General features: G+C 33.7%; 1 long non-coding RNA gene across 1 annotated transcript in view, besides 1 other annotated feature; it reads right to left on the reverse strand.

Moving 5' to 3' along the window:
* The window catches only part of LOC105373150 (uncharacterized), a 246,359-nt gene extending 231,591 nt beyond the window's left edge, over positions 1-14,768 (reverse strand). Inside the window, exons 1-2 of the long non-coding RNA NR_188591.1 lie at positions 14,713-14,768; positions 14,527-14,613 (exon numbers count right to left, since the gene is read on the reverse strand). This is a non-coding gene — a long non-coding RNA (uncharacterized LOC105373150). The remainder of the gene's footprint in view (positions 1-14,526; positions 14,614-14,712) is intronic.
* Positions 14,668-14,962: an enhancer, noted in NCBI's record as "tiled region #13349; HepG2 Activating DNase unmatched - State 1:Tss, and K562 Activating DNase matched - State 12:CtcfO". NCBI's record gives its function as "activates a minimal TATA promoter and a strong SV40 promoter by Sharpr-MPRA in HepG2 and K562 cells {active_cell/tissue: HepG2 | K562}" and the evidence as "EXISTENCE:reporter gene assay evidence [ECO:0000049][PMID:27701403]".

The raw sequence follows: 15,265 nt of genomic DNA on the forward strand, positions 1-15,265 counted from the left end.
ACCTCAAGTGATCCACTCGCCTCAGCCTCCCAGAATGCTGGGATTACATGCATGAGCCACCGTGCTAAGTCTGAGAATAGTAATTCTTACTAAATTTTTTATACACATCATAAGAACAGAACAAAAACCCTAACAACACAAGGTATTATTTTAAAGATTTGTTTTTAGATACTTACAAGCTAAAATTCAAAAGTCATTATAACCCTAAACTTTGTTGTCATTTTTTCTGATATCATGGTAACAAAGGCACCTGACTATATGATTAACTTCACAATAAAGTTGATATTAAATCCTAGTGGAACAAAAAAAACATTCATTGTGACTATTTTACTTATGGCCTCTAGGATAATGATTTCACTGAGTAATTAAAGGTCAGGTATTTATAAATGTTTCACTACTATATTAAATTACTTTCTCAACATAAATTATATATTTTCTTATTTCTTTTCTTTCTCTTTTCTGTTTCTGGATTTAAATGTAACTTCTTACCTGTTCTGTACTGCCTTACCAAAGGGGAAAAAAAAAAGCAAAGTACATCTTTCAAGAAAACTATTAGTGATATGCCTTCATCTCACTCTTTGATTTTTCCTTTATTAATTATCAATTTTTCATGTGCCCAGTATAAATTATTTTTTTACATGCAATTGCATGGCCGGGCGTGGTGGCTCACGCCTGTAATCCCAGCACTTTGGGAGGCCAAAGCGGGCGGATCACCTGAGGTCAGGAGTTGGAGACCAGACTGGCCAACATGGCGAAACAGCATCTCTATTAAAAATACAAACATTAGCTGAGCGTGGTGACACACGCCTGTAATCCTAGCTACTCAGGAGGCTGAGGCAGGAGAATCACTTGAACCTGGGAGGCAGAGGTTGCAGTGAGCTGAGATCATGCCACTGCACTCCAGCCTGAGCAACAGAGTGAGACTCTGTCTCAAAAAAAAAAAAAAAAAAAGAAAGAAAAAGAAAAAAAGAAAAAAAACTGCAATTGCATATTGCTTCACAGAAATAACCATGATTAGCAGTAAGGTGTGTAAATGAAAAGTTGTATACAAAGTATTTACACATGTAAAATATTTATATACTTGTGCATGCAAGTGAAATAAAGTACAATTTGGTTCCTTTTATATTTGAAATATGTCTTTGTGATATCTTCTGCAAGTATACAAGATTTACCCGATTGGATATAAAAGTTACATAGTATTCATCATATTAATACAGTGTATGTTATTTAGAAACTATTTGTTTTGCCTTTTTGTGTCCATACTTTTATGCACACATTTAAGAAGCTCTGTCAGATATCGTTATAGAAAGGCAATTATTGCACAAAAAAGTAGACAAATTTAAAACATTGTTAAAATATACCAAATTAATTTCAAATACCCAGGACCATTTTATACTATTCCACGACTTGTATTAATATAAGAAAGAATATGTTATTTATTTAATTTCCACTAAGCATTTAGCATATTTAATATACTAATTGCCAATTCGTGATTATTTTTGTGTATATCCTTGGTGCATTTTACTGATTCCATTTGTTAATGAGACTACCATTTCATAATTACTTGAATACCAAAATGGTTATATATTAAGCATACACATATGCATAAACTCTTGTTGCTTTCACTTATGTTCTGTATATTTCTCGTTACTTGATTGATTCTGTATAAATATATGGCATATAAATCACCTCACCTGTAAAATTATCAATGAATAATTATATTGTATATTAGTTAAGTACAGCGTACATAAAATATTTTGCTATAGGTAATACAAGAAAAATATTGATATTTTGGCTTTTTGTTTTTCACGTGAGTTTATTTTGCTTTGTCTTGTTGCTCTTATCAATCGAATGAGTTATCTTTTAATTTAAATGAGAAAATTTGGATTGATGAAATAGCTATTGAAGTTTTAAATGACATTAGTAAACTGTATATTTGATAACTATATGAAGTATAGAAAATATCAGTGAACAAATGTATACCAACTGAAAACTTTAAAGGAATAAAGATACATACATTCCTAAGCAGGATGATTTCAGTGACGGCTGCTTGCCCAACAGAACCCGTGGTGAAGCAGAACAAGCACACCAGCACCTTTCCAATGCTTAAAGAGGAAATAGTCAAGCCAGAATTCTACATCCGGTAAAATCACACTCTCAAATTGTGAGTGAAATAAGATACAATCACATAAACAAACCTCAGACAATTTGTTTCTAGCCAAACAGTAATATGCATAATGCAACAAGAAGTTCTTCTGAACAAAGAGAATAGATACCTGATAGAAACTGGGAACTTCAGGAAGGAGTGAAGACGACTTGAGAGAAATACTTGGAAAAATATTACAAACAATTTTTTTCTATTATTTCATTAAAAGACAAATGGCACTTAAAAATAGTAAGCAGAATTGAAGATGGAAAATATGTGCAAAATTCATTAAACCGTAAGGTTAAGATCTGTGCCCTTAATGTGTTTTAACTCCTTTACCAAAATTATGAGGCAAGTGTAAATTATAAGTATTCAGTTTTTAATAAAACATTTACATGAAATATATGACAAAAGGAGAACAAAGGAAAAGGGGAATAAATGTAATTGTACTGTTGTGAAGTTACATTTACACAAAGTGATATGATCCTAACTAGAACTCAACCAAGATAAGTAAAGGATTCATATGAGAGCCCTTTCAGCAATGACTGAACATAATACAAAGTGATATAAAAAACATTCTGGTTACTATTGCTGCATAACAAATTACCCCAAAAAATATTGTCAATAACATATTCCACATTTGCTTGCTTGTTTTTCATTAGGCTATACTTCAATAATATATTTCTACCATATACTGTAATTCACACCTGGCACATGTTGGGAACTAGGGAAACACAGGTTATCAATGACAAAAATTTAATTAGGGTACAATAAATTATGACAGAAAAGCCCCACTGCTTGGATAGATCATTTCCATAATGATTTTATTTTACTGACAAAAATATTAAATTAATACCCTGTCCCCTCCCCCGCCAAAAGAAGGCTACAATTAAAATTACTAACCATAACAAGGATGTAGAACAACTGCAACTCATACTGCTGATAGGATGGAGAACAGTACAATCACATTGCAAGACGCTTTGGCATGACCTAAAAAAATTAAATATACACCTCTCAAGTGCTCCAGCCATTCCTTTCCTTGATTTTTACTGAAAACAAAGACAAACCAACAAAAAATCCAACGTATATGTTGATACAAAGGCTTGTGCAAAAATGTTCAGAGCATATGAATGGTGGAAGAGCTTGGGCAGGAATAGAAAGGAGAGATACAGTGGCAAACAAGACACTTGGTGAGGGGGAATGAACATTAACATTATCTTTATTGTGGTGATGGTTTCGTAAATATATACATATCTCAAAACATAATGTTAAAGTGGTTCAGTTTATTTTAAATCAATTATACTTAACTGAAATTACTAGAAATTGTGTGGATGCATCAAAACATGGGCATAAAATAAAATTCATGCCATTTACGCAAAAGAGGAAATCCTGACAATTTAAGATCTGGTAATACACTTCACAGAATTGGAAAGTAAAGCAGGGATACAAACCAAACTTGAAATAAAAATAAAAATTATTATTATTTAATCAAACCAAAGAAATATTAAATATAAAGTGGTAGACAATACTAAAAGGGTTTTTTTAAAGAAAAAAATGATAAATCCTGTCAAGAGTGATCAAAATCAAAGAATACCACCACCACCACCACCACCAACACTGCCACCACCACCACCACCATCACCACCACCATCATCACCACTCCAACAGTAATATAAAACGATTCTCGCCATGAATCCTGGAGACAAATATATTATATTATAATCAAATTCATGCCAATAAAATAGAAATTACTGTATCACACAAAAAAACACCACTTAACAAACAGATAAATTGGGAAGTCTTCGTAATTCTTTATTTATTAAATAAAATGTATCTATATTGGTCCTGGTGCCTAAATTCCTGATCTTTTCCATGTAACTGAGAAAGATACAACCAATCTTACACAACCTCTTCTGTAGGAAAATAACTGTCAAAACACTCCCAAATGTATTATGAGACCCCTATAAAGTATATATATACTTATCAGTTCAGTATTATACTGAACTGATAAGAAAATTATGCATAAAGAATATCAAAAGGTTTTGTTGTTGTTGTTTTTTGTTTGTTTTTTGTTTTTGAGACATGGTCTCTGTCACCCAGGCTGGATCACAGTGGAGCCATCATAGCTCACTGTAACCTCGAACTGCTGGGCTCAAGCGATCCTCTCACCTCAGCCTCCCAAGTAGCTGGGACTACAGGCACATGCCACGACATCCTGCTAATTGTTTAGTTTTGGGATTACAGATGTGAGCCATCACACCCAGCCATATAAAAGGTTTTTATGCCTCATGACAAAATGTAAACAGTGAATAAATAAATAAAATGTAAAACTTATGTTTTACAAACAGAACAAAGATACTTCAACCATAATACCCTGTGAACAAAATGTGTTTCATCCAGGAAAGAATTTTTGTTGCCTTATCATCACGAAATCAAGTCATTTTGGCAGACAAAGGAGTAAAATCATGTCGCTATCACAATAAAGAGAAACCTTTTTATGGAATTTATTATTCATTTATGACTTTCCAAAACTCACGAAACTGCAGCAAGTGTCATACATATTGATGAATTACTAAAAACCATCCCCTGAAATAAGAAAAGAGGTAAGAATGCCTACTATCACCAGATCTATTCAACATTTTATAGAGGTCATAGCTAGGACAATAGTGCCAAAAAAAAAAAAAAAAAAAAGAAAAGAAAAAAGAAAGAAAGAAAAGAAAAAGAAAAAGGAAAAAAAAAGGCATAAAGATTGGAAAGTAAAAAAATTTCCAAAAATGCAGATATTAGCCTTTCACACTTCATGATTGGCAGTGAAGTGTGTGTATGAGCAGATATGCATATAAATATTAACACACCTGATGTATTTATACACATGTATAGGAATGTGAAATAAATTAAAATTTACTTTCTTTTTTCAACAATAATACAACTTGGATATATCTTATGCAAGTATATAATGAACTACCTGATTGGTTATAAAGCTACACAATAGTCATAGTATAAACAGAATATAATTTACTTAAAAATCAATCTTTTGTCATTTTTAACCAAATTTTTATGCATCTTTGTAGACTATAGTCGTAGAAAGAAAATTACTGTTTTTAAGGGCAGGGAAATTTTAAAATTTGCTTTAAAATGCCAATTTATTTTCCAAAAACCTAGTATCACTTTTTCCTCCCTCAAAAATTTGGCATCAAGATAAAAAGAATAATTTCATATTTAACATACTAATTATCAATCATATTTAATATAACTGAATCAGACATCTATGATTGCACAGCCTCTGCAACAATCAGCCTGTGAAGCCAAAATATAAAGTCTGCAGCAATAGAACCCAAACAGTGAGGACCTGGCCAATAACTGTCAACATCCCTAAATTTTGCCCCTGCATCTAACTTAGGACCAATCAGAAGAACCCCAAAATGTTCCCCTACCAGTCATTTAGTATGTTCACACTTCTAGTTAGCATGCCACCAGCTTTCCCATGCCAACAACTTCGGATTGGCACATACCTGAAGCCTTCCCTTTTTTCCACCATAAGCTTTAATATTCCCATAAGGGAAGCTTCTCAACTTCCCTGCCTGCCTTTGAGTCTCCACCAAATACAAAAGATAGTGGCTGGCTCCCTTGTTATAGCAAGCTCTGAATAAATAGCTTTTTCTTGTTCTCATTTGGACAGTCTTCACTTATTTCCAAAATTGTTTGATGTATTTTACTATTCCATTTGTTAGTCTATTATTTCATAAATATTTGAAATACCAAAATATTATACATGAAGCCTATTGTATACATTTATTCTTGTTATAGTCACAAATACACGCACACATGCATATATAGCCTGTTAAGAATAATATTAAGAATATTCCAATATGTATATTAATATAAACCACCTTAGATATATATCTACCAAACTTGAATGTTATTGCATGTTAAAACTACTATAGACATAAAATATTTTAAGTAAAATGTATCACTTCATTATTGTTTAACATGAATTATATCTGTTCTCATACAATTTCTCATGTATGTCAAAATTTGCATTAAATTGATGACTGAAATAAAACAGTTTTGATATTTTCCATGGGAAAGTGCATAACACTTTAATTTATATATAATGAGTGCAGATATTTGTGTATATTTTAATTAGAAATAAAAGTTGGTTATTTTGGCTTTTGCCAAACATTTTTTTCATGAGACTTATTTTGTTTCTTTTTCTTTCGCTTTGCTTTGTTGCTACTGTCTATCCATAAATTATTTTATCTTATATAAATGGAAAAATTTGGATTGATAAAATTTAAGCTATATTATAGTGTAACTCCATTATTGCTAAAATAGCTATAAAACTTTTCAAGTATTACATTAGTAAACATTATAACATTTATTATATCTCATATAAATTGAACATCTGTCAAATATAAAGATTAGTGAAGTATATAATTATATGCCCCCAAAACTTCTGAAAAAGAAAGTGTATTACCTACTAAGAATGATGATTTAAATGATGGCTGCCTTTTCAAAAGAATCTTTGGATAAAGGAAGAAAATGGAGAAGTAACTTTCTAATTCTGAAATAAAAAAGAATTATTGATCTACCAAAATTATCCTTCCCAGCTCAGAGTGAAATAAGACAGAGGCACATAAAAAAAGCCTTCAATTTGTCCCTGTCCAAGCAATAATACATCATGCTGCAGGAGGGAGAAAAAACCTAAAGGGAAAAAACACCTTAGTAGAAAACTACGGAATGGAAGGAAGAGCACTAGGTAGGGAAAATACATAGATAAATACAAAATACTACTTTTTTCTATGATTTCTTTTTAAAAAGCTGATTCCTTGATGTAAAAATTATAAATAGCATTTTAAATGTAAAATACATAATTTCCAAAATGTATCAAATCTGAAAGTTTAAGTTCTGTGCACTGTGAATAAACAATATATTTAATTAAGACTTGAAACTATAAAAATCCTAGAAGAAAACCTAGGACAAACTCTTCAGGACATTGGCCTATGCAAAGAATTTATGGCTAGGAACATAAAAGCAAATGCAACACAAACAAAAATAGAGAAATGGGACTTAATCAAACTAAAAAGCCTTGCCACAGCAAAAGAAATAATAGACAGAGTAAACAGACAACCTAAAGAATGGGAGAAAATATTTGTAAAGACAGAAGACTAATATCTAGAATCTACAAGGCACTCAAACAACTCAATAAGAAAAGAAAAAGCAAATAAGGCCATTAAAAAGTAGGCACATGACAGGAGCAGACATTTCTCAAAAGAAGACATACAAGCAACCAAAAAACATGTAAAAAATGCTTAACATCCCTAATCATCAGAGAAATGCAAATTAAAACCACAATGAAATACCATCACACAGCAGTCAGAATGGCTATTATTAACAAGGCGAAAAAACAATAGATGTTGGCAAGGATGCAGAGAAAATGGAACGCTTATACACTGCTGGTGGGAATGTAAATTTGTACAACCTCTATGGAAAACACTACGGAGATCTCTCAAAGAACTAAAAATAGAACTACCATGTGACCCAGCAACTTCACTATCTACCCAAAGGAAAAGGAATTGTTATAGCAAAAAGACATGTACATGTGTATGTTTATTGCGGCACTCTTCACAATAGCAAAGTAATGGAATCAGCCCAAGTGTCTTCTCGCTTGTAAATGGGAGCTAAACAATGGGTACACATAGACACACAGAGGGGAAAATAAGGACACTGGGGACTCCAAAAGTGGGGAGGCTGGAGGGGGGAGTATGGGTTGAAAAACTGCCTATTGGGTACAATGTTCCCTATTCAAGTGATAGGCACACTACAAGCATAAACCCCACCACTATGCAATATATCCACGTAACAAATCTGCACCTATATGCTCTGAATCTATTAAAAAAGAAATAGATTATACCTAGCACTGTATCACTAAAAAAATCTAAATAAATAAATAAACACATTAATGTATATACATTGGATTTAGTTGTAAATAAATACACACATTTGATACATGATTACAAATACACATATAAAAGTAATTGAAGAAAATGGGCAAAAATAAATTATACGTAATCAACTTAAGTTTTTTAAAAAATATTTAAATAAAATATTAAACATAAGAGCAAAAAGTAAGGGAGAATAAATAGATTCATCCTATTGTGAAGCTTCATATACATAAATTGGCACTATCTTAACTGTAAGTAGACCAAGGTAAGTAAAAGATTCCTATGCTAATCCCTAGGGTAACCAGCAAACACAATACAAATAGGTATAGATAATATTCTAGCCATTACTGAAACATAATTACTACAAAATGTATCTTCTGTAATATACTCCATATTTACTTGTCTGTTTTGCATTAGGCTGTACCTCAATAATGTACCTGTGTTTACATACCCAGCACATGTAAGAAACCAGATCATTTAGACAACCAATAAAATAACTAAATTGTAGGATACTAATCAAATTATGAGAGAAAAGACACACTCTACAGGAGGATTTTCTGCCTTAAAAGATGTTTTAATCTTATTGACATAAAGAATGGATTGGCTGGGCATAGTGGCTCACTCCTGTAATCCCAGCACTTTGGGAGGCCGAGGCGGGCGGATTGCCTGAGCTCAGGAGTTTGCGACCAGCCTAGGGAACACAGTGAAACCCTGTCTTTACTAAAATACAAAAAAAAAGTTAGCCGGGCGTGGTGGCGTGTGCCTGTAATCCCAGCTACTTGGGAGGCTGAGGTAGGAGAATTGCTTGAATCCGGGAGGCGGAGGTTGCTGTGAGCCGAGATTGTGCCACTGCACTCCACCCTGGGTGACAGAGCAAGATTCCATCTCAAAAAACAACGACAACAGCAACAACAAAAAGGATCAACTGGCTATACAATGAAAAACAATTAAAACTAAAACATATTCCAAAAAAACAGTATATGTAGAGATGTCTGCTTCCATGGTAATGCAGCCAGTTTAGCTCAACCATTCTGCTGAGAAAAACTAGGAGAGCTGGAAGATATTAAACATATTGTTTGTAGGTATCACAAGTCCAAAGAAACAAGCATTTGAAGAGACTGAATCTCAGAAGAGAAGCCCACGTGGTGAGACCCAACTTTGGTACCGTTTTCTCCACAAGCTTTTTGGTGATTCAAAGAAGATGACTGAGAAACTAAAATACTTACAACAAAGTTGCGGCTGAAAAGCTAAGCAGCTGATCAGGATTTCCAGCAGAATCACCAGCCCAAGGGACACAAATTGGGTTTATGGCCCACCCTGGCAGAAAGGATGTGGTAAACAACAGCGATGAATTTGACATCCTTAAGAGGCTATACTCTAACTGTCAATATGACCCCAAAACACAAAACTACTCACAAATCTGAGACCCAGCTTCAAAAGACTCAATACCTAACTGCCTCCCAAAAGCAAAATAAAATGCTCCATGGAGAAAGATAAAATCACCCAGAACTGGGTGCAGTGGTTCACACCTGTAACTCCAGAACTTTGGGAGGCTGAGGTGGGAGGACTGCTTGAGACCAGGAGTTCGAGACCAGCCTGGGCAATATAGGGAGACCCCATCTCTACAAAATTTTAACAAATTAGTTGGGCATGGTGGCACATGCCTGTTATTCTAGCTGCACAGGAGGCTGAGATGGCTGAATCACATGAGCCCAGGAGTTTGAGGCTGCAGTGAGCTATAATTGCATTGCTACATTCCAGCCTGGGCGACACAGGACTTTGCCTCAAAAAAAAAAAAAATCACCTAGAACCTCCAATTATCACTATAATACTATAATCTTTCTCTCTTTCTCTCTTTCTTTTTCTTTCTTTCCTTTTTTTTTTTTTTGAGACAGGGTCTCACTCTGTTGTTGCCCAGGCTGGAGTACAGTGGCGTGATCTCGGCTCACTGCAACCTCTGCCTCCCGGGTTCAAGTGATTCTCCTGCCTCAACCTCCTGAGTAGCTGGGAGTACAAGTGAATGCCACCACGCCCGGATATATATATATATTTGTAATTTTAGCGGAGACAGGGTTTCACCATGTTGGCCAGACTGGTCCCCAGTTCCTGGCCACAAGTGATCCACCTGCCTCAGCCTCCCATATTTCACATATAAATTCCTACATGCGGCCAGGCGTGGTGGCTGAAGCCTGTAATCCCAACACTTTGAGAGGCTGAGGCTGGTGGATCGCTTGAGCCCAGGAGTTCAAGACCAGCCTGGACAACATGAGAAAACCTCGTCTCTACAAAAAATATAAAGAGAAAATGAGCTGGACATGGTGGCAGGCGCCTGTAATCCCAGCTACTCTGCAGGCTGAGGTGGGAGGCTCTCTTGAGCCCAGGAGGCAGAGGTTGCCATAAGCCGTGATCACACCACTGCATTCCAGCTTGGGTGACAGAGTGAGACCCTGTCTCAAAAATATATATATATTGCTACATGCAATTCAAAATATATATGCAATATATGAATGGGAAGAAAAGGATTAGCATCTGGCTAGTGAACCATTTTCTCCGTTTGCTGGGAATGCCTGGGACAGAAAGAACAATGACTTGACCCACGCAATTTAACGTGGCACTGAGATACCATTACACACTAAAGAGAAGGTTACAATAAAAAATACTGACCTTATCAGCTGCTGGCAAAGATGTAAAGCAACTTTGCAGCTCACACACTACTGGTAGGGTATAAAATCATACAATTACATTACAAAACACTTCGATATTTTCTAAAATATCTTAAAGATGTTCATATCGTGTGACTCAACCATTCCATTCATTGATGCATATCCAAGAAAAATGAAGATGGATGTGTGCACAAAAATGTGTATCAAAATATTCACAGCATGGAAAATGACAGAGCCTTGGGAAGAATCAGAAACAGGGAAATCCTAAGGGTGCCCATAAAAGCTCAGTGGTGGATAAATATGTCCCCTATCTTAATTGTGGTGATGCTTTCACAAATATACAGGTATCTTGAAACATATTATTTTAAAGTTATGTAGTTTATCTTATGCCTAAAATAAACTATACCTATACCTAAAACTGTTAAAAATGTGTGGAATGCACCAAAATGTGTCTAAACATTATAGCATTAAAAGCAAAAAGGGAAATCCCGGTAATTTAAAATCTGGTAGACCACTTCACAATTTGGGAATAAAATATTTGATTTAATCCAAAAGAATACTTGAGATAAAAGAATAAAATTAGGATCCATTAACAACATTCAAGAAAAAAGATCAACAAATCCAAAAGTTGCTTTGTTTTTAGTTTTTTCTTTTGTAAAGGTTAAAAAATTTATAAATCTTGAGAAGACTGATCAAGGAAAAAAAGGAAGACACATATTATCAGTTCCAGGAATGTACAGTGTGAATCATCATTACAGATATTGAAGATGCTTATATAATATTTGAAGTTATAAAAAAAGACAAAATTACAGAAAGATACAGCTTTAAAAAGTAAGAAATTAAGGAAAATCTCATTTATCCTAAATGTATTAATTAACGTTAGTTCATAATGAAAACCACAGTTTAACGCCTGGTTTTGTGAACTTTTCCATAAATTTCAGAAAAAAAATAATACTAATCATGCACAATCTCTTTCACAGAATACTTTCCAAAAAATGTTGAGTGAAATCCCTATAAACGTTACACAAAACTGATGAAGATATTATAATAAAGGACCGTCAATGGTTGATATGGATCCTGACAAAATGAGACAAAAAAATCATTATGTTTGACAAATGGAATCCAAACACACTTTCAATTATAACACCCCGTGAACAAACTGAGCTTAACACAATTTTGAATTATTATTGGTTTAACATATTGAAATATAATCTCCTTAACAACACAACGGACCAAAATCATGTCACTGTCACAACAAATATAGAGAAACCATTTGGCAAATTTACCATCCAGTTATGATTATTAAAAAATGACTCAGAAAACTATGGGAAATATCATCATTAGTGATGTAATAATGAAAACCTCATCCTGAGATGGGGATTGAGACATGAATGCCTACTATTACCATTTCTATTCAGCTTTTCATGGAGTTCATAACCTGGGCAATAATTCAGGGAAATGTTAAAAAAAATGCATGATGATTGGAAAGGAAGAAATAAACCCATCCTTATTTATAGATTTTATGTTTATGTACCAGAGTAGCTAAAAGCAGTCTACAGGTAATACATTAGAATTAACAACAGCATTTAGCAAGATTCCATATAGTTAAAGCTCAACACATTTTTCTGAGAATAGCAATTCTCACTAAACAGTTTATACACTTTATGAGAAATGGCATGAAAACCCTACATAACAAGGTTAGAGTTTTAAAGTATTTTTCCATATACTGTTCAGATCAAAATTGAGAGGATTTTAACCTTATTGTTGTCATTTTTTCTGATAGCATAGCAACAGGGCCCCATGAATATTAAATAAACTCTAGCTTACACTGGACATTTACTCCTAGTGGAACAATAAAAGATTTTTTTTTTGCAATTTTTCTTATGGCCTTTAGTTTAATGATTTCACTAATTAGAGGTCTGTTTCTTATAAATGGTTCACAACTAAATTAAATTATTTCTCCACAAAAATTTTATTTACTTTTTTCATTACTTCTTTCCTTTATAACTTTGTTTTAATTATGGCTTTAAGCATAACTACTTACATGTACTATAATATATTAAAAACAAAAACAGGTCCTCCAAAATAATCATTAGTAATAATATGCTGTCATGTGACTGGTTTTTTTCCCTGATTACTTACAAATAAGATGTCTCCTCAGTATAAAATTCTGAAAAAAATGCAGATATGTATCTTTTCACGGAAGTAATCATGATTAACAGTGAAGTGTGTAATTTAACAAATATACATATCAATATACATTTACATGAATAATACATTTATGTAACTGTGAAAACATATGAATAAATTATAATTTGCTTGCTGTTTTATTAGCAATATGTCTTGGAGATATATTCTGTAATCGTCAAAGATCTACCTGAGTATAAAATCTGCATAGCATTTATTGTATGAACACAGTTTACTCTATTAAAAATAGCTGTTCTGCCTTTTTGTATCCATAGTTATATGCACATTGACAAGTCCTGTCAGATATAATCATAGAAAGGCAATTGCTGTGGAAAAGAGTAGACAAATTAAAATACTGCTAAAAAATAAATTAATTTCCAAAATAGTACTATTTTATACTCCCTTCAAAATCTGGTATCAATGGATATAAAAATGATATTTTATTAATTTCCTCTTAGTATTAACTATTATAATTGCCAAAAAATGGTTATTGTTTATCATATATGCATTTTAATAACACTATTTGTTAAAAAGCATACCACTTCATACTTATAATACCAAAGTTATTACATATCATGTATATGTAAATATATATGCATAAATAAACTCGTTACTTTCACCTACATCCTATATATTCCTTGTTCCTGAATTAGTTCTGATATGCACCTTATGTAAATCATTTCACCAATAGAACATGTTTTCCAAGGAATGTTATTGTCTATTTTATTATTACAGTAGACAAAATATTTGCGGGAGGTAACACAGGTATCATTTCTTTATTTTTTATCAAGAGTGTTATCATACAATTTCTCATCCTGTTCAACAGTAGTATCACATCAACAATTACAACAACAATTAATTTAGATACTTTGCTTGTAAGTGTGCTAAATTGTTTTAACACGTATATAGTTAATCTATACAGATATTTTAATATGTTTTCATGAGAAATAAAAGTTTGGCTTTTGTTATTTTTCATGTGTACCTTTTTATCTTTTGCTTTGCTTTATTGTTATCAATCAGATAAATTATCCTTTTTATTTACACATATAGAAAAATTTGGATTGAAATGCTACTCAAAATAGGTATTGAAACTTTAATGTATTTTATTAGTAAGCTACATATTAGGCATCTATATAAAATATACAGTACATTAGTGTAGAGTACAAAATCAAAATTCAATAATTCCATAAGAATTAAAGAGCCGGGCGTGGTGGCTCGGGCCTGTAATCCCAGCACTTTGGGAAGCTGAGGCGGGTGGATCACGGGGTCAGGAGATCGAGACCATCCTGGCTAACACGGTGAAACCCCGTCTCTACTAAAAACACAAAAAATTAGCTGGGCATGGTGGCGGGCGCCTGTAGTCCCAGCTACTCGGGAGGCTGAGGCAGGAGAAAGGCGTGAACCCGGGAGGCGGAGTTTGCAGTGAGCCGAGATCGCGCCACTGCACTCCAGCCTGGGCCACAAAGCCAGACTCCGTCTCAAAAAAAAAAAAAGAAAAAAGAAAAAAAGTATTAAAGATATATTACCTCTCTAGGAAAGATGAATTCAAAATTCCATAATTCCGTAAGAATTAAAGATACATTACCTCTCTAGGAAAGACGAACTAAAGATGGCTGCCTTCGCAACAGAATCTGTGGAGTGCCCGAAATAACGAAGCAGAATATTTTCAAGGCTGAAAGACAAAAAAAAAAAAAGTCAATAGAATTCTAAATGTAGCAAAATTTTCCTTTCCAAACTGGGAATAAAATAAGACGTGTCCACATAAGCCCACCTGCGACAATTTAGCACTGGACTACCCCTAATTGCAGTTGCTGCCGGAAGTTCTACAGGCTGAGGGAAGTGGCGTGCGATGGAAACTGAGAATATCTGGAATGCCAGAAGAGCACTGGGATGCAGGGCCAGGGTGGCTCCCTCTGCTGGTGGAAGATAGTAATGTCAGTTGGTTGGAATTTCAGCCTGGGAATTTATGTAGTATCGCAACTGTCTCAGTGTATTGGTTACAAAAGCATTACTAAGCTTGGTCCAAAATCCAGGTAGGGGCTATAAACTCAATCCTTTGAAGGAAGATGTGTCAAAGAATATGTGGATGTGTTTTCAAAGTGCCACAGATAAAAATCCAAAAGAGGAATTTAAATGGAATAATAAGAAACATTCAATAAACACAAAAGTAGGTACAAATAGAGAAAGGGAAAAACAAGAGATAGGAAAAACAGGAAAAAAAAATGAAAAGATGATCAACTTTGAAACAAAGTATATTAATAATGAAACTGAATTTAAAAAGAGTCAGGAGGGGTGATCACACAATTTCATAGTAAAATTTTGGC

This window comes from Homo sapiens, chromosome X (assembly GCF_000001405.40).
Source record: "Homo sapiens chromosome X, GRCh38.p14 Primary Assembly".
Classification (NCBI taxonomy): domain Eukaryota; kingdom Metazoa; phylum Chordata; class Mammalia; order Primates; family Hominidae; genus Homo; species Homo sapiens.